General features: G+C 50.4%; 1 long non-coding RNA gene and 1 other non-coding gene across 3 annotated transcripts in view, besides 5 other annotated features; both read right to left on the bottom strand.

The window, feature by feature from the left end:
- The window catches only part of LOC101928014 (uncharacterized), a 49,991-nt gene extending 35,449 nt beyond the window's left edge, over nt 1-14,542 (bottom strand). For both annotated transcript variants that reach the window (NR_188448.1, NR_188449.1), the window contains exon 1: nt 14,327-14,542. This is a non-coding gene — a long non-coding RNA (uncharacterized LOC101928014). The remainder of the gene's footprint in view (nt 1-14,326) is intronic.
- On the bottom strand, nt 3,470-3,534 carry MIR4291 (microRNA 4291). Its single transcript, NR_036254.1, has one exon. It is a non-coding gene; the product is annotated as a microRNA 4291 (primary transcript).
- Nucleotides 11,043-11,620: an enhancer, noted in NCBI's record as "H3K4me1 hESC enhancer chr9:96573553-96574130 (GRCh37/hg19 assembly coordinates)". NCBI's record gives its function as "activates a minimal SCP1, AML or CMV promoter by ChIP-STARR-seq in naive H9 embryonic stem cells {active_cell/tissue: H9 hESC(naive)}" and the evidence as "EXISTENCE:reporter gene assay evidence [ECO:0000049][PMID:30033119]".
- Nucleotides 11,621-12,198: an enhancer, noted in NCBI's record as "H3K27ac-H3K4me1 hESC enhancer chr9:96572975-96573552 (GRCh37/hg19 assembly coordinates)". NCBI's record gives its function as "activates a minimal SCP1, AML or CMV promoter by ChIP-STARR-seq in primed H9 embryonic stem cells {active_cell/tissue: H9 hESC(primed)}" and the evidence as "EXISTENCE:reporter gene assay evidence [ECO:0000049][PMID:30033119]".
- Nucleotides 12,199-12,776: an enhancer, noted in NCBI's record as "H3K27ac-H3K4me1 hESC enhancer chr9:96572397-96572974 (GRCh37/hg19 assembly coordinates)". NCBI's record gives its function as "activates a minimal SCP1, AML or CMV promoter by ChIP-STARR-seq in naive H9 embryonic stem cells {active_cell/tissue: H9 hESC(naive)}" and the evidence as "EXISTENCE:reporter gene assay evidence [ECO:0000049][PMID:30033119]".
- Nucleotides 12,777-13,355: an enhancer, noted in NCBI's record as "H3K4me1 hESC enhancer chr9:96571818-96572396 (GRCh37/hg19 assembly coordinates)". NCBI's record gives its function as "activates a minimal SCP1, AML or CMV promoter by ChIP-STARR-seq in naive H9 embryonic stem cells {active_cell/tissue: H9 hESC(naive)}" and the evidence as "EXISTENCE:reporter gene assay evidence [ECO:0000049][PMID:30033119]".
- Nucleotides 14,508-15,228: an enhancer, noted in NCBI's record as "H3K4me1 hESC enhancer chr9:96569945-96570665 (GRCh37/hg19 assembly coordinates)". NCBI's record gives its function as "activates a minimal SCP1, AML or CMV promoter by ChIP-STARR-seq in naive and primed H9 embryonic stem cells {active_cell/tissue: H9 hESC(naive and primed)}" and the evidence as "EXISTENCE:reporter gene assay evidence [ECO:0000049][PMID:30033119]".

The raw sequence follows: 18,295 nt of genomic DNA, 5'->3' as shown, positions 1-18,295 counted from the left end.
TATAAGCCTGGAACATGTTGTTATGCACTAAAAAAGGAAGATTATACACTATTTATACAGGTATGTAATACCTGACCTCGGATCAGATGTGGTGGTGAAGGGGAAAGACAGGCTATAAAGGGCAGCATTGCATCAGTTGACAAAACTGTGGCAGGCTTGTGGCTCGAAAAAAAGGCCTCTCTCCTCCCCCATTTCCCAGTTGAGAGCCAGCTGGGAAATGTTGGGGGAGGATTTGGGTGGAAAAATCAACATTTTGCAAGCATTGTGGCAAAGATTGGCTCAGGCAAGAGTCATCAATGGCTGATAAAGCCGGTGGAAAGCTTTGACAAGGAGTAGGGTGTTTTTGCATGCTCTGCAGGTGTCTCCTCATAGACCAGGTATTCAACGCAAGGAGGGGGGAAAAGTTATACAGTGGAGAAATCAGGACCCACCCTGGCAGGGTGACAAAATCAACCACTGACCACCATGGAGGTGCATGCGGGCACCGGGGGCCACCAGTTGTGATGCCCTACAAGCGCACATCCCTAACACCACTGACACCAGGTAGGAAGGCACAACCCACACCCAAACAGGAGGAAATGCAGACAAACTCCAAGTGAGAAACATTTCACTAAAAACACTGTGTTCTTCAAAAATGTCAATGCAATATAAGACAACGAAAGATTATGGACACCATTTCAGGCTGAAGGAGACCAAAGAGACAAAACAACTGAATACAATACCTGACCCTGGATCAGATGGGGTGATGGAGGGGAAAGACATGCTATAAAGGGCGGCATTGCGTCAGGGCAGCATTGTGTCAGTTGACAAAATTGGCACATGGATGGCAGATTAAAGTGTTTTGTCAATGTTAATGTTAATTTCAATATTACCAAAGTCAAGAACGGAGCTGTAGTTACATAAGAGCATAATTCTATTTTTGGGAAACCCACACCAAAGTATTTTGGGGTCAAGGGCTATGACATTTGCAATTTACCCTCAAAATATGTGTGTTTGTGAGAGAGGCAGACACAGAGGAGAGACACAGTGATAGAGACAGAGAGAAAGAACAAGAGCAAATAACCCAGTAAATAATAAAAAGTTAACAGTAGGTGAGGAGTATGCAGGTGTTTTTGGTCCCATTCTCATCCCTGCAAATTTTCCACAAATTGTATATTGTTTTCAAATAAAATGTTTTTTTAAAAGTGATGTGGGTAGGGGACGCCTTGAGATGCAAGTGGTCAGGGATGAATGCTCTGAGGAAAAACATTTGGGCAGAGCCTGCAACATGAGAAGAAATCATCCAGTGCTGCAGAGGAAGGGAATGGCATGTGCAAAGGCCCTGGGGTGGGAAGATAGGCTGGGTGTGCTTGTGCTCAAGACAGGGTGGTGTGGGGAGGAGCAGGGAGACAATGAGGCTGAGGATGTTGGTGGGGACCAGGCAGGTCCTGGTAGGGAGTTGGGGATTTAGTCTTAGTGCAATAGATGCAATAGGTGGCTGCCCATAACCCCAAGGATGCCACTGGGTGAGAGAGAGTTCCTCCTTCATTCGCTTATTCAACAAATATGTATTGAGCCCCTCTCATATCCTGGACTACTTGGGAAAGATGATGGTGCAGAGAGAGCTTCCAGTGCTTTGGGAACAGCCACTAGGTAGTTGGAGAACATTCTGCTATGAAGAAGGGCAGGGATTTGCCCTGATTATAGTTTCAGGGTCTAACAGTCAGGGTGGGCTGGGTTCTATTGCAGCAACAAACAAGCCCAACATCTCATGTCTGCACACAGAAAAATGCATTTTTCAGTCAGTTACATGATGTGCCTTCATGGGCCAGCCCATCAGTCACCCAGGGAAAGGGGACGGGGCTTCTACCCTGAACCTGCACGTGTTTCTTCTGCTCACATTTCATTTGCCAAGCAAGTCACACAGCCACACCTAACTTCAAAGGGACTAGGGACATGCCCAGAATGAAAGGGAGAAGCAGGTGTTTAAGAATAGCTGCAAAGACAGCCACAGGGACAGAAGGAAGCTTGCAGTCTATACAGCTGTCCCCCCAGTGTTTGGCTGGGAATGCGCCATAGGGACTAGCACTAATGCTTCAGTCTGGCACCGAACAGATTCCAGACCAGCAAGGGCCCCCAAGTGGTCGAAGTGGGCAGTTAGGTGAGCTAAATGAGCGTTAGTGGGAAGGAGAATAGCCTGGGACTGGGACCCTGGGGAGGGACACCAGCATGTCCACAGCAGGCAGCTAAAGTGACAAGGGGCCTGGAGACCCCATCCCCTGGGGAGCTGGGGCTGCTAGACTCAACTAACAGCCTAAGTAGAAAGTAGTGAAATCTACTCACTGTCCCCCACCTCTGAGGGCCAGTCCTGGGGCAGGAAGAGCTGATGGAGTCCTAGGGCTAGGAGAGCAGAGCTGCGTCCCCAGGAGGGGTGGGGGCATGGCAGAGATCAGCAGTAAGGACACAAAAATGGGGAGGGCTGCTTGACGGGTGAGGAGCTCCCCGTCATGCAGGGCATGCAAGTAGAGCAGCAGATGCCCAACATCTAGGGAAGCTGTAAAGGAACTTCCTGGGATCCAAGGGCCCTTCCTTTCTCCCAGAGTCTACATTTCTAGTGAGAATGGTGGGGGACAGCCAGGTCAGAGAGGGAGCGTGTGTTTGGAGAAAGCAGGTAGTGGGAAGGGCAGTAAAACTAGGGCCATTCGGGGGAAATGAGGAATCATCTTAGCCATCTCCACCAGTTCTCTACCTCTCCCCACCAGCTTGGGGGCCACCCCTCCAACTCAGTGACTGTGGGTCACCTCTGTCTGTGGCCAGGCCCTCCGAGCTTCCCATCATGAACAATGCCCCTGAGAGACCCTAAGGCGTGTTGCAGGAATGAGCAGAAGACAGGCTGCTCACATCATCCCTTCTAACACCATGGGGCATGGCCTCAGCATGTTTCAGTCTTGCCCTGAGTGCCTTAGGGATGTCAGCGGCTCTACATAAAGTCAGGCCATGGTGCTATCCAAGGGCTGTGATGTGCGGCCAGCAGCAGGCAGTCAGTAGAGCTTGGTGAGTTCATTATTTCTCTCTCCAGCCCTCAGTTCAGAACACAGGGGTACAACCCTGAATGCCAGAAGGAGGAATCAGCCAGTTATCCGTGGTCAGACCTGGAGGTTGCAGAGAGATAACTTTGGTTTGTACAGGGGTCCCTGGAGAAATCAGAAAAAACAGCCGTTCTGAATTCAGACCCCTGAGTGGCCTGGCTGGCCATAGTATTGCCACTTTCTACTGCCCCAAGGGAAGCCCTGTGCTTGGTGGGGCTGGTGTTCTATCTGAAACCAGGAGAGACACAAAAAGGCTACAGCCATAGGGGAGGGAGCAGGTTTCTGTGGAACTAAGGAAACTCCAGAGAGTCTATTGTACAGTGTGTCTGGGTCACCTCCATCTGTAGACCCTGGAAGCACTTGGCTTCATTACCTCACTCTCAGCTCTGAATCCCACAGTTCAGGGCTGCAGCCACAGCAGAACAGCTCTGCCTCCACCCAGCTGTTCCTGCTGAAGCCCCCGGCGTCACCCTCAGGGCGTCCTGAGCTGTGGCACCTCCACAGTGGAGACCCATCCATCACAGAGCCCATCAACGGCCCAGCGCCACCCGGAAGGGGCCAACACCGATGTCAACTAGGGCCACTCTGAAAGCCGCCAGGGCGCGGCCCCAAGGGCAAGATGGATGGGCGGAACCAGCCACTTTAAGGCTGTGTTTATGGGACACCCAAACAGCTGGTCAATCCCCCGGGACCATCACTCACCCAGCTACCAGGGGTCCCTGACAGGCTTGGAGATTGCGTTGCCGTCTTAACTCCAGCAGCACTTAGAGTCTTAGCCTATCAGGCTGAGGGGTCCTGTCCCAGCCACCGGCACTTGACAGATGAGGCACCTGAGCCCCAGCAAGGAGGGCACGTGGCTGCCAGGATCACCCAGGCTGTGAGCAGAAGATGGGCTTGAACCTGGTCCCCCCTCCAGCCAGGGCTCAGAGGGCCCTCTAGTCTCCTGTGCACACACGCAGGCCTTGGCTTGTCTCTGGCACTTTTAGTAATGGAAGGCTTGTCCGCCTGGATGTACGAGCTCTCTCTAGAGACATACCTGATTTTTGGTTTAGTCATGTTCTCATGTTCTACTCAGGGGAGACCAGAGAGGAGCTGCACTTTTACTTCCTCTAGGAAATGACCTCCCCTCCCTCCCTCCATCCCTTCCTTCCTTCCTTCCTTCCTTCCTTCCTTCCTTCCTTCCTTCCTTCCCTCTTTCCCTTTCTTCCCTCTTTCCCTTCTTTCCCTTTTCCTTCCTTCTTCCTTCCCTCTTTCCTTCTTTCCTTCCCTCTTTCCCTTCATTCCTTCCTTTTCTCTTCCTTCCCTCTTTTCATTTCCTTCCTCCCTCCCTCTTTCCCTTCCTTCTTTCCTTTTTTCTTCCTTCCCTCTTCCCTTCCTTCCTTCCTTCCTTCTTTCCCTTCCTTCCTTCCCTCCCTCCCTTCCTTCCCTATTTCCTTCCCTCCCTCCCTTCCTTCCTTTCATCCCTTTTTCCCTTCCTTCCCTCCTTCCTTCCTTCCTTCTTTCCATCCCTTTCCTTCCCTCCTTCCTTTCTTCCTTCTTTCCCTTCCTTCCTTTTTTCCCCTTCACTTTCCTTCCTTCCTTCCCTCCCTCTTTCTCTTCCTTCCCTCCCTCCCTTCCCTCTTTTCCTCCCTCCCTTCCTTCCTCCCTTCCTTCCTTGCTTCCTTCCTTCCCTCTTTCCCTCCCTCCCTCCCTTCCTTCCTTCCCTCTTTCCCTCCTTCCCTTCACTCCTTCCCCCTCCCTCCCTCCTTCCTTTTGACAGATGAGTCTGTTGATGTAGGAAAAAGAGAACATAGAATATCTAGCCCAGAGTCACTACCTACACCTCAAACAGCCCAAAGAAGTCAGTAGATTGGGGTTTCTGAGGAAGAAAGAATCTGGTGAGTAAGGAGGTCACCCCACTTCATAGCAAAGCTCATTTTTCCTGGGGAGGAGGGCAGGAGGGTTAAGGGAAGAACACAGGCTCACCTCATTCTGTCCCTTTGATTTTACCTTCTCCTCAGAAGTGTCCATGTCCCCACCTATGAAGTGGGGTCACTAACATGTATAGGGCTGGGTGAGCGGGGAATGAAATGATGGGTGTGCCATTGATTTCCTTATGATGAGACACCTTCCAAAACCAACAAGTATTGTTACTAATAAAAACAACATGAGCCAGACACCACAACTGTTTCTCATAAAGTGCCATTTTAAGGTAGTCAGCTTTAGAAAGAAATTTGTTACAAAGAACAATATACAAACCCACCATATGCAAAAGTTATCTCAAAGTGGATCAAAGACCTAAATGTAGGAGATAAAACTACAAAGCTCTTAGAAGAAAACTAGAAGTAAATCTTTGTATACTTGCATTCTTAGATATGACACCAGAAACATAAGCAACAAAAGAAAAAACAGATATATTGGACTTCATCAAAATTAAAAACTTTTGTGCCTCAAAGAACACCATCAGGAAGGTAAAAAGAGAACTCACAGAGTGGGAAAAAATATTTGCAAGCTATATATCTGAAAAAGGTCTTTTGTCCAGAATATAAGAAGAACTCATCAGTAAAGGCAAATTTTCTTCAGTGGGCAAAGGATCTGAATAAATATTTATTCAAATATTTTTCCAAATATTGGCAATACAAATGCCAATAAGCACATGAAAAGATGCTCAATACCACTGTGCAAATGAAGTCCACACCGAGATACCACTTCACACCCACGAGGATGGCTAACATCAAAAAGACAGATGATAACAAGCATTGGTGAGGATGCAGATAAGGTGAAACCCTCATATATTGCTAATGGGAACACAAAATGGTGCCGCTACTATGGAAAACAGTTTAACAATTCCTCAAAATGTTAAAAAGAGTTACTGTATGACCTCAATCCACTTCTAGGTGCATGCCCAGGAGAAATGAAAACATCCACATAAAAATGCATACATATGTTTATTGCAGCATTCTTCACAATAGCCAACAGCTGAAAACAATCCAAGAGTTAACCAACAGATGACTGGATAAGGAAAATGTGGCAGATGCATACAATGGAATATTATTTGCCCACAAAAAGGAATGAAGTGCTGATTCATGCTGCAATGTCAATGGACCTTAAAACATCATACTAGGTGAAGGAAGCCAGGCACGAAAGGACAAATAGCATATGATTCATGTATACGAAATGTCCAGAATAGGCAAATCCATAGAGGCAGAAAGGAGATTGGGGGTTGTCAGGGGCTTTGGGGACACAGGGTATGAATTAGGAGTGACTGCTAATGGGCATGGTGTTTCCTTTTAGGGAGATAAAATGCTCTGGAATTAGTGATGATGACTGCACAACTCTGAATACTAAAGCCATTGAATCGTACACTTTAAAAGAGTGAATTTTATGTTACAGGAATTATATCTCAATAAAGCTATTATATCTATTAAAATGTAGTTATCTGAGCTGGCGCTAGGCAGTGCCTCAAAGCCATTTTTGAGAATTCCTGCTTTTTTCATTCTGGCTGCAAGTTGCTGTCAGGTGGGTGAGGGCTGCAGGATTTTATAGGCGAGTAGGGATTCCTCCACCATTTGGTTCCAAATCTCCTTTAAAACCCTGCAATCATTGGGAATAATTAATGACTACTTGGAATTTTTTAACAGAGAGACCAGCCCACATGTGGTTAATGAATAAAGGGAAAAATTGTCCATCAGAACCTACAATGATAAGTGAGTTTAGTGTGCTTCAATATTTGCAATGGAGACATTAAAAACATTGGAAGCAGCCCTCCCAAATGCTCATAGTCCTTGGCAAAGTAATCCCCCTCTTGAGAATATTTGTCTTATCATAATTACTTAAAAAGCAAAAAGCTGTATGCATATGGTGACTTATCTTAGGGCTGGAGGAACAACAGACCCTTCCCATGTCACAAATCAGAGCACCGAGGTGTAGAGAGGTCGTGGCCGGCTTGGGAACATCAGTGGGTGAGTGGCGTGGCTGGGGATGGCCATGGTGTCATAACCCTTTCTGAGCTATGTCCACCTCTTCATGTCAAACAAGCTTCACAGAAATTAGAGGAAGCCTAAATCCCAGGGGGTGTGGCAAAGTCAAGGGTGGCCTACAAATTAGGCAGAAGAGCATGAAAACTTTGAAAAGGCAGGACGGGAAAGCTTTACAGCAGAGGAAAATGCCCATGGAGGACTTGAGAGGGACAGACGTTATGCGTGTGTTGGCTTCTCACAGCATACCTGAGGCCAGCAGGGGCTGGAGAATGGGGCTCAGCCCACAGAGGCTTTCACGGAAAGCCCTCATGTGTTTAGAATACAAGGCATTTAATGCAGAGAACTGGTTGCACATCCTAGAGGAAGGTGGGCTGCACTTAGTGCCAGCAGGAAGCTGCTGCCACCAAAGCTGGAGGACAGAGAGCAGTGGCACCACTGCTTCAAATTATTCAGGGCACCTGCAGGGTGTTTGGGCCATGCACATCTCTGGGCACAGATAAGAAGGAGGGACACCCGCCGGCTTCTCTCATCCACCTCCATCTCCCACAGGGAAGGGAGGTGAGGAAGGGCTCGAAGGACAATGGGCCAGTGGAAAGGGGAAGTGGCAGGGCCTAGAGGAGAGGAGCGTGCCCCTTCTGCTGGGCCACTGTGCAAATCAGGGTCCCAAACTGGGTTTGGATGCAGATTGCTGGAGCTAGGGAGGTCAGGGTGACTGACCACTGTCTATGTCTCATGTCACAAGCCCCTGCAGGCTCTGCCACACCCTCCACTATGATTCACCCCTTTTCTCTTCTATGGATTTCTTTATTTTCCTTAAATGAATTTACTTCAAAGGAGCCTTTTTACCACTACTATAAAACCCAACAGAACTTGCCATAAACTGAAGCATAGCCAGGAAAGTGAAGACAACAGGAAGCAAAGGATGAGATTAAATTCTAGCATTGCAGAGCTTGGAGCCTGAGAGATCAGTTGCTGTGGACTTGCTCTCAGAGGTGCCCAGAGGGTTGGCAGGGTTGCTGCCCCCTCTGCAGGGCCCACACTGTTAGGACGCCCTGTGTCTGTGCACTCTGAGCTGATGGGCAATGCCACAGGCATGAGTTCTCCACTCTACGAAGCACCGAGGTCAGGGAAACCAGAGAGAGAGAGGGAAGGGGACCCAGTCAGGGCTGCAAGCCAGGTGCCGCCAGTGCTAGGACACAACTGGGCCCTCCATGTCCCCTCATGAGGTTGAAGCATTTCTTTTGTGGTTGTGTCTGCTTGCTCTCCTCCTCTGCTCCCCTTCCTGAGAACATCCACGTCCCACTGGAGGATGAAGCATCCCCCAGTGCTGCGGAGCAGAGCTCTTCCTGCCTCCATGCAGGGCATTTTGTTCAGAGCCATCCTTTGTGTGACTCTGCAGGTGGGGGTGGGGGCTTGAAGGAAGAGATTGTAGCCTAGTGTCACTGGGAATCAAAAGCCTTTCCTGAAAGCATCCTGCAGCTGTCAGAGGGCCGGCCTCGGGAGGCAGCTGGTCCATTAGTGGAGGCAGGTGATTTGTATTGCTGGCTGCTGCTTGTGTAAACAGAGGGCTTAGGGAGCTCAAGGGGGACGAGGAAGGTGGGGGTTGCACCCTGTGCACCTGAGCCGGGAGGGCTTGGCCTGGCAGCTGCCCCAGTCGCTGGGTGTCTTCCCTCAACACATACCAGGGTCTGTCTGTGCTCTGCCCACATCAGCACTTGGGCACAGCGACAAGGCCAGGTGCCACATCAGGGTGTGTGGCTGTACACTGAGAGAGAGCCAGGTAGAAATATATGACCAGTTCAACCACACCTATGTTCCTGTTAGCACCTGGGATGGAGACTCCAAGACTGTGGGGATACCCTGCAGGGTCCTGATGCCCCAAATCCTCTCCCACCTCCTGGCCTGGACACCCTGCAGAGATCTCTGCACGAAATTGGTGTCCAGTTCATTTCAGCTCAGCTGGGCTTCACGTGGCAGCTTCTCTGTCCTCCCCCGATCCAAGGGGGGGCTCAGATGCCTCCTCCAGGGTCTCTCATCAGCCTGTGCCCCCACTCCCAGCACTTACAGCAGGGCTTCATGATGGTCTGTTTACAAGTCTGTCTTCCGCAGCAGACTGAGTGGTTCTTGAGGGATTTTAATGACCTCCACCTCCCACCGTCAGCACTAATCAGTGTTTCTTGAATGAATGGATAAAGGAATGAATGAAATCTTGAACATGTACCATTTGCCAGGCTCTGTGTGGAGACTGCAAACAAGACAGAGAACCGTATGTTGGATGGTAAGGTGGTGGTTGATGGGGTGCAAGATTCTGGGAGACATGTTGAGATGGGGTGGGGGCTTCCTGAGCAAGGAGCTTAGAACAAAGACCTGAGGAGGTGAGGAAAGGAGCTTTGTGAATGGACATCTGGGGAAGAGTGCTCCAGGGAATAGCACTTGCAAAAGCCCTGGGGCAAGATCAGCCTGGGGGATTCAAGGATCAGTGAGAAGGCGAGCTAACATGACCAGAGTCCAGTGAGGGAGGGAGGAAAGCAAGGCTCAATTCCCACCCTGGAGAAGCTCCTGGCCTAGTGGGCTGATCCCATTCCATCCATTCCATCTCATAGGAAATGTGGTTTTAGTTGGTTTCACCTGTAATTTGCTAGCCCTGGATAGGAGCCATAGGAATGATATTGAACTTCATTAATCCTAGTCCATCAGATCTGTGACTGGTTTCCTCAGAGCTGTGAAGTGTTTTGTTTCTTCTCCAACCACAATTACATGTGTGAAAAACATCTGGAGAATCTGCTGGGGCCACCTCTTTCCCGGAACCTGCCCTACCTGGGCTCCTGAGTTCCTCCCTGGGCTCCTGGGTTTCTCCCTGGGCTCCTGGGCTCCAGGCCATCAGCACTCAAGAGAACTCTTCTCGAACTTGGGCCCCAATGGGCTGGGCCCCTGAGAAGAACCAGCAGGAGGCTCCTACCACTTTCAGTAATGTTTCCCCAGGGGAGTGATCCCAAGAACGTGGTCCTATGAGATGCTCTTGGAGAAAAAAAGAGTCAGATACCTTTAGGAAATGCCTGGCGGTAAGCCTCACAGATTCTGACAGGTCCTGCCCAGAAGCCTGTCCAGTCCACCCCTACAGCCAGCCCCACGTCCACTCCCCACTCACACTGGAAGGGCAAGAGAGCCAGACCCTCACTTTAATTTCCAGTCAAGGAGGGTGGGAAAGGGGCAGGCAGTTCTGGCCAGTGAGACAATGTAGAAAAAACTCCCTCTGGAGGAGGTGTCTGAAAGAGATTCATCCTGCCTAAGGAGATGAAAGAGGCTGTTCCAGGTGCCACCTCCAGCCTCAGATACACACACTTCATGTCCTTGCCTTTGGCTGCGGTCCTGTGTACATGTGATGTCTGGAGCTGTGGCAGCCACCTCATGCCCATGAGTGAAAGGCCAGGAGTACTTCAGAATTCCTGGCCTGGCAGCCTCATGGGGAGAACAGCTGCATCCCCCAATGCTGTATGAGTCCCGGCTCTGGCTTGTGTCACAGGATTCTGACCCATGTCACCTCCCCAGGAAGCCCTCCTGGGCCACCTGAGCCAGAGTTCTTGACCTCCTGGTCCATGACTTGTGTGACTTTCTTCAACTTGCTCTCTCTTTAAAAGGATTGTTTTCTGTCTAGATGTCTCCTTTTGGCTTTCCTCCTCAGAACATCAGTTCAGGGGCTCAGAGCTTGCGATTGTTTTGCTCACATATACCTCTGCTACTTGGAGCAGGGCCTGGCACAGAGCAGGTGCCCAAATATTTGTTTAGTAAATGAGTGAGTACTCTGCCTGCAAGAGTGCGCACTGGGTGGGACCATCACTAGGTGGCTCTCCCACTTCCTCTGCTCCTGTTGGAGTTGGGAAGGGAGATCTGTGAGCTGAGCACAGTGACTCCCTGGAGGCTGCAAGCCCATAAGTGGTGGGAGGGAAAGGGGAGAAGTTTGTGGACCCCTCAGCCTGCCCACCTGCCCAGTCAGAACCAGCACCCACCTCCTGATGAATTTTCTGACATCCTGTGATTACCACATAATACCTCAACTGCAATTGAGGAAGGCAAAGGAAATTAACACTTAACCTTTTAAAAGGTGCATTTCAAGGCTGGGCGCGGTGACTCATGCCTGTAATCCCAGCACTTTGGGAGGCCGAGGGGGGCAGATCACAAAGTCAGGAGTTCCAGACCAGTCTGGCCAATATAGTGAAACCCCGTCTCTACTAAAAATACAAAAATTAGCCGAGCTAAAAATACAAAAATTAGCCGGGTATGGTGGCAGGCGCCTGTAGCCCCAGCTCCTCGGGAGGCTGAGGCAGATGAATCGCTTGAACCCGGGAGGCAGAGGTTGCAGGTTGCAATGAGCGGAGATCGCGCCACTGCACTCCAGCATGGGCAACAGAGCGAGACTCCGTCTCAAAAAAAAAAAAAAGATGCATTTCAATAGACAAGTGTCAAGGCGTGGAGACACTAGACGACGTCAGGTGGCCCTCAGACGCCTACACAACGACGCAAGTAGAAGTCGGAATTAAAGGAAGTCAGAGGCGCAACCGCGTCCCGCCAACACCTTCTCTAGGCATGTGCAACCTGGGAACTGCGGCTGGTGACAACAACGGCGCAGCTGTGCGGGCCTTGCGTAGTGCCAGGCACGCTGCTGTTTCCCAGGAGACCCAGCAGCGCTTTACAAAGCAGGGAGTGACTGTACCACGTCTCCCATAGGCATTGCCTTGGAAAAGTCAGAATACATGGGAACCATGGAAAAACCACTCATGTTTTTGTATAAAACAGTGTAGAAACAGTAATGCAGGCATGGATACTGACTCCACTGTACTCTCCCCAAGTGGGTGTATGTGGGACCCTGTCTAGGGGAGGACGCTGAGCTGGCCCCGGCACTGGAAGCCCTGCACCTTCAATGTTGCAGCCCCTCTCAAACGGCCGCCGCTGGTCTCCAGCCTGCCCCTGCTCTGGACCCCCCAGACCTGTCTCCCCTCGGCCCTTTCTTGCAGCAGTCCCTCCCCTACTGGGGTGCTGGATCCTAGTCCCCCAGCTCCCAGGAGACAGGCCGGGCCTACCCTGGCCCAAGGCCAGGAGCCCCTGGTGTCAGGCTGCGCGAACCCCCCTGCTGGGGCTGGGCACTGGCGGAGCAGGCCTCCGGCGCCCCCCCAAGCTAGGCCTCCCAGAGGCGCACCCTGGCCTGCCCGGCACAGTCAGGGGCTCGGCAGGCGGTGATGGATGGGTGGAGGAGGCTCCGTTCCGCCGGCCTCGCAGACATTCCTCCCCGCAGATAAACGCGGAGGCGGCGGACGCCCCTGCAGGTCCAGGGGAGGGGCGCTCCTGAGAGGCAGGAGATGAGGGGCCTCTGTATATAATAAAGGTGAACGATTGTCATCTAGACATTTTTATGCTCTTTTCGAGGCCCCAACTGCCGTGAGGCCGGAAGGAAGGACCCAGGGCTCTTAGCGAGTGGCTGCAAAAGTGGCTGCTTTGAGGAAGCCGGAGAAGAGCTCGGGAATGGAGGCACAGCCTGGGGCCCCCTCTGCAACCCGAGTCAGCTCCAACCCCTCCTCTGCAGGAATTCTGGAGATGCCTGCAGGTGCCGTTGGCGGCTTGCTGGGGCACTCTGAGCTGGTGTCTGTGCACACTTAGCCAGCGGGACCAGGTCAGTGGCAGTTCCAGCCCAGCTCCCCACGTGGGCGCCTCAGGCTGCCCCTAGCAGGGCTGTGGGCCAATTGCCTGAGCCAGGTTTGAGGATCGCCCAGCTTGTCACAGCGTCACGGTGCCGAGCATCGTCCCGTAACACAGATGCTCAGAGGTCTGGGCCTAATCTACCTGTGACTCGAGGCCCATTCTGGTACGGTGTGGGGTCGGTGAGACCCCCTTACAATGGGGCTGGCACTTAGTGGGTGCTCACTAACATTTTAGCTCGCTCCCCTTCATTGCCCCCTCCCTCCCTCTCTCCCAGGTCTGCAGTGGTTGGGGAATGGAGTCTCGCACATGAGAACCCGAGGCTCAGGCCACCTGAGGCCACAAGTAGGGAGAGGACCGCAGAGCTGGGGCTGAGGACTCTCACCAGCAAAGGCCCCAGCCGTCTGAATGTCCAGGGCAAGGGACTCGTTCATCCTCACAGGCCTGGTGCCCTCTCTTCAGCCAGCACCCAGGTCTGTTCAGCCCACCCACTGCCTTGGTGTCGGGATCCTCTCAGTCCATCAGCCTGTTACCCTACAGCTCTGGGGCAGCCCCCAAATGTAAGGGTAAGATAATGTGCAAGGAACCCCAGGGGCAGGGGTTGAATGGACCCATGGAGAGGAGGGGCCTCAAGCCTGGAGCTGCTGGAGGCAAGGGTCCTACAGGAAGATCCCGAGGCCCCATGCGAGGCTGGGTGACACAACATGCCCTCAAGGCAACCCCGCAACACCGGCATTATTATTCCCATTTTAAAGAGGAGTAAACTGAGGGACAAGAAGTGAACAGCTCTGCTCAAGATGTCAAAAGGACAGGGTTTTGGATTCAAACCTGTGTGCATCTGCCTCGAAATCTAGGATTCTTTGCACCACCCCACACAGCATGATCCCCCAGCCAACAGACATTAAGTGCTTGCTAAATGAATGAAAAAGAAGCTCCTCTTGGAAAAGGAAATTGGAAGTGGTCTAGCATTTGATCAATAGCACAGAGCTGACCCAATGCCAGGCAAGGGCCTATATAGAGCTCAGAGTTTTCCAGAAAAGCAGCTGAAGGGATATTTGTTATGAGCCACTCAGGAGTGGAAGAAACAGCATATTCTTCAGCTTTTTAGTACCGTCCTAATCCTGATGGCGAGCCTTATCCCACTGGGCCAGATCAGTATTGGGATCCTGATCTTCAGGGGTCCCCAGCAATGGGCCCTGATCCTCTAGGGACCCCTGAGAAGCCAATGGTTTCAGCTCCTTGCCGTCCCAAAGCAACCCGACTATGTAAGTGGGAGCAGGTGGGGCTCCTCGCTCCTTCAGAGGAGGACTGAGAGGGCCCCAATCCTCTATAAACTCTGCTGCCTTATCCTCTCCTTGTCCCCAACAGCCTGAGCTTGTAGAAGACCTGTGGGATGTGGCTGTGAGGTTGAGAGTGAGCCTTTCCCAAGGATATTGTAGCTGGAAACTGCTGCACCTGCAGCAAACCCTACCCCCCGACCCCGACTTCTCAGCCCAAACCCCACCCCCAACCCTGACTTCTCAGCCCAAACCCCATCCCCCTACCCTGACTTCTCAGCCCACAGCCAATCGCTCCCTCTGTCCTTTAACAGTGGAGCTGGGTTCATACCAGGCAGGTCACAAAGCCATCACCATGGTCCTTTCTTAGAAAGTCCTTGATGCTGAGAGCTCTGCTGCTTGGAGATAACAAATGGCAGTGGGTTCGTGTTAGGGCCATTGGGTCTGTCCTTGATGACACAGAGTGAGCAGACCTAACTTTTAAAAAGTGATAGGTCCATGAAATCCCATGACTAGGAGCTCCTGGGCCCGCTGGCCCTAAGAGCCTTCAGAGGGGAGGGTCAACAGATTGAGGCTGTGTTCATGCCCTGTGTCCTCACAGTGAGGTCCTGGCCAAGTGGCCTTGGCAACAGCAGAGCCCCATGCTGTCCACTAGATACTTTTACATCAAAGCCGGTGTCTCTGACTGTCAGGAGCCATCCAAGCCTCAGCTGAAGAGGCAATGTCTTGTTTATTTTAAATTTTGGATCGATAATGCAGTACCTGGTTCAAAATGTGAAAAATACCAAATGGCAAACAGTGAACAATCTCCATCCCATCCCCTGGTCCAGCCACCTTCTGTGGCTGTGGGGCAGTTGCTGTCCCTCTGGGCTTTAGTTTCTGAGTCTCTGAGATGAATTAGGCCCGTCCCTCACACTCATTCTAGAGGAACCCATGGACACTGCACTGAAGCCCCCAGCCCTGGAGCCTCCAGCACAGGCCAGCAGGGCCTCTGCCAGCTTTGGGGACTGGACGCTCGGCTCCAAGCAGCCATCACCACCCACCCACCCGCGGCCACGGGTCAGGTTTCCATCCGCCGTCATTAGGCAGATGTCAAACTGGAAGGGGCAGCAGTAATTTGGACAATTACAGCCGTTATTATTGCTTCCTCTTCTTAAACGGGGGCTAAATTACTCACTTAAACACAACCACCAGTCACTCCCCACAGGCGGAGGGGACAATGGTGGGGGAGGGGACACATGGGAGGGGAAGGGACAGCTGGCAGGGGAGGATTCAGAAACTCCAGCAGCCCATCTGTCTGTGACTGCCCTGTTTGAGCGCCTACTGTGTGACATCAGCATGTCTGTCCACACTGCCTGGGACTTGGTGGTATCATTGTCAGGGGAGGTGAAGACTGGTGCCCTGGGGGAGGGGGCGGTCATGCTGCCCTGCTGGTCACTGCAGGACCAGGCTGGAAGCAGGTTAGGGTTCCAAGTCTAGAGTGGCATTGCCCCCTCTGAAACCTCTACATGGTGTGAGCTGAGCATCTGCCCAGGGCAGGCTTAAGAGGGGCCAGGAAGCCTCAGGCTGGCCCAGGATGCCCACTGCCCAGGAGGAGATAAACCTGCAGCCGAGGCTCATTTCTCAGGGATCAGGCAGGCCAAGGTGGCTCTTCTGTGGATGTAGGCAGGCAGACCTGGGCACCTGGCTCCCTGGCTGAGTGACAAATGGGGACAAGGACCCTAGTGGGCACCATGCAGGGAGGGAAGGTAAGTCTAGGCCTATTCCACTTCTTAGAGCTAATCACATCCACACCCGAAAGTACAGACAAAAGTCACTCTAATGACAGGAAGCATTTATGTAGCACCTGCTATGTGTCCAGCACTCTGTTTATATATAGTAGCTAATTGAATCTTCAGAACAAAGCTTTGAGGTAGGCATTCTTATCACCCTCATTTTACAGAGGAGGCTGAGGTACAGAGAGCCTAATTAACTTACCAGGGGTCACACAGCACCTCAGGAGAGAGCTGACCCCCTTCCTAGAGCCATAGGATGAGCACCTTAACCTGCTCAGTTGCAGGCTGCTATGAAACAGAAGGAAACCTTGCAAGGTATTTCCTTTTAAAAAATTTTTAATGTATTTATTTATTTATTCTTAAAAAAATGGGATACATGTGCAGAATGTGCAGGTTTGTTACCCAGGTATACATGTGCCATGGTGGTTTGCTGCACCTATTGGTCCATCCTCTAAGTTTCCTCTCCTCACCCCCTACTCCCCAACAGGCCCTGATGTGTGTTGTTCTCCTGTCTGTGTCCATGTGTTCTTTTTTTTTTTTTTTTTTTTTTTGAGGCGGAGTCTTGCTCTGTCACCCAGGCTGCAGTGCAGTGGCGCGATCTCGGCTCACTGTAGGCTCCGCCTCCTGGGTTCATGCCATTCTCCTGCCTCAGCCTCCCGAGTATTCAACTCCCACTTATGAGTGAGAAAAGGCAGTGTTTGGTTTTCTGTTCCTGTGTTAGTTTTCTGAGGATGATGGCTTCTAGCTTCATCCATGTCCCTGCAAAGGACATGATCTTCCTTTTTATGGCTGCATAGTATTCCATGGTATGTATGTGCCACATTTTCTTTATCCAGTCTATCATTGATTTGGGTTGGTTCCATGTCTTTGCTATTGTAAACAGTGCTGCAGCAAACATACATGTGCATGTGTCTTTATAGTACAATGATTTATATTCCTTTGGGTATATACCCAGTCACGGGATTTCTGGGCCAAATGGTATTTCTGGTTCTAGATCCTTGAGGAATCGCCATACTGTTTTCCACAATGGTTGAACCAATTTACATTCCCACCAACAGTGTAAAAGCATTCCTATTTCTCCCTAGCCCAGCCAGCATCTATTGTTTCCTAACTTTTTAATAATCACCATTCTGACTGACGTGAGATGGTATCTCATTGTGGTCTTGATTTGCATTTCTCTGATGATCAGTGATGTTGAGCTCTTTTTAATGTTTGTTGGAGGCAATGTTTAATGGAGGCAAAGTGGAGGTCCCTGAGCTTCCAGGCCTGCATAAATGTCTTCCTTTGAGAAGTGTTTGTTCATATCCTTTGCCCACTTTTTGATGGGGTTGGTTTTTTTTTTCTTTTAAATATGTTTAAGTTCTTGTAAATTCTGAATATTAGGCCTTTGTCAGATGGGTACGTTGCAAAACCTTTCTCCCATTCTGTAGGTTGCCTGCTCACTCTGATGATACTTTCTTTCTTTAGTTTAGTTAGATCCCATTTGTCAATTTTGGCTATTGTTGCAATTGCTTTTGGCGTTTTTGTCATGAAGTCTTTGCACATGCCTATGTCCTGAAAGGTATTGCCTAGGTTTATAGGTTTTCTTCTAGGGTGCTTTATGGTTTGGGGTTTTACATTTAAATCTTTAATCCATCTTGAGTTAATTTTTGTATAAGGTGTAAGAAAGGGGTCCAGTTTCAGTTTTCTGCAAATGGCTAGCCAGTTTTCCCAGCACAATTTACTGAATAGGAGATCCTTTCTCCATTGCTTGTTTTTATCAGGTTTGTCAAAGATCAGATGGTTGTAGATGTGTGGTGTTATTTCTGAGGCATCCGTTCTGTTCCATTGGTCTACATATCTGTTTTGGTACCAGTACCATGCTGTTTTGGTTACTGTAGCCTTGTAGCATAGTTTGAAGTTAGGTAGTGTGATGCCTCCAGCTTTGCTGTTTTTGCTTAGGATTGTCTTGGCTATATGGGGTCTTCTTTGATTCCATATGAAATTCAAAACGGTTTTTTCTAATTCTGTGAAGAATGTCAATGGTAGCTTGATGGGCAGTATGGCCATTTTCTTTCTTTATTAAAAAATTATTTTTATTATATTTTAAGTTCTGGGATACATGTGCAGAACATGCAGGTTTTTAACATAGATATACATGTGCCATGGTGGTTTGCTACACCCATCAACCCATCATCTACATTAGGTTTTTCTCCTAATGCTATCCCTCCCCTACCCCCCTACCCCCTGACAGGTCCCAGGGTGTGATGTTCCTCTCCCTGTGTTCATGTGTTCTCATTGTTCATCTCCCACTTAGGAGTGAGAACATGTGGTGTTTGGTTTTCTGTTCTTGTGTTAGTTTGCTGAGAATGATGGCTTCCAGCTTCATCCATGTCCCCCTGCAAAGGACATGAACTCATTCATTTTTATGGCTGCATAGTATTCCACGGTGTATATGTGCCACATTTTCTTTATCCAGTCTATCATTCATGGGCATTTGTGTTGGTTCCAAGTCTTTGCTATTGTGAACAGTGCCACAGTAAACA

The sequence above is a fragment of the Homo sapiens genome, chromosome 9 (genome assembly GCF_000001405.40).
Source record: "Homo sapiens chromosome 9, GRCh38.p14 Primary Assembly".
NCBI lineage: Eukaryota > Metazoa > Chordata > Mammalia > Primates > Hominidae > Homo > Homo sapiens.
This window is presented reverse-complemented; position numbering and strand designations above follow the sequence as displayed.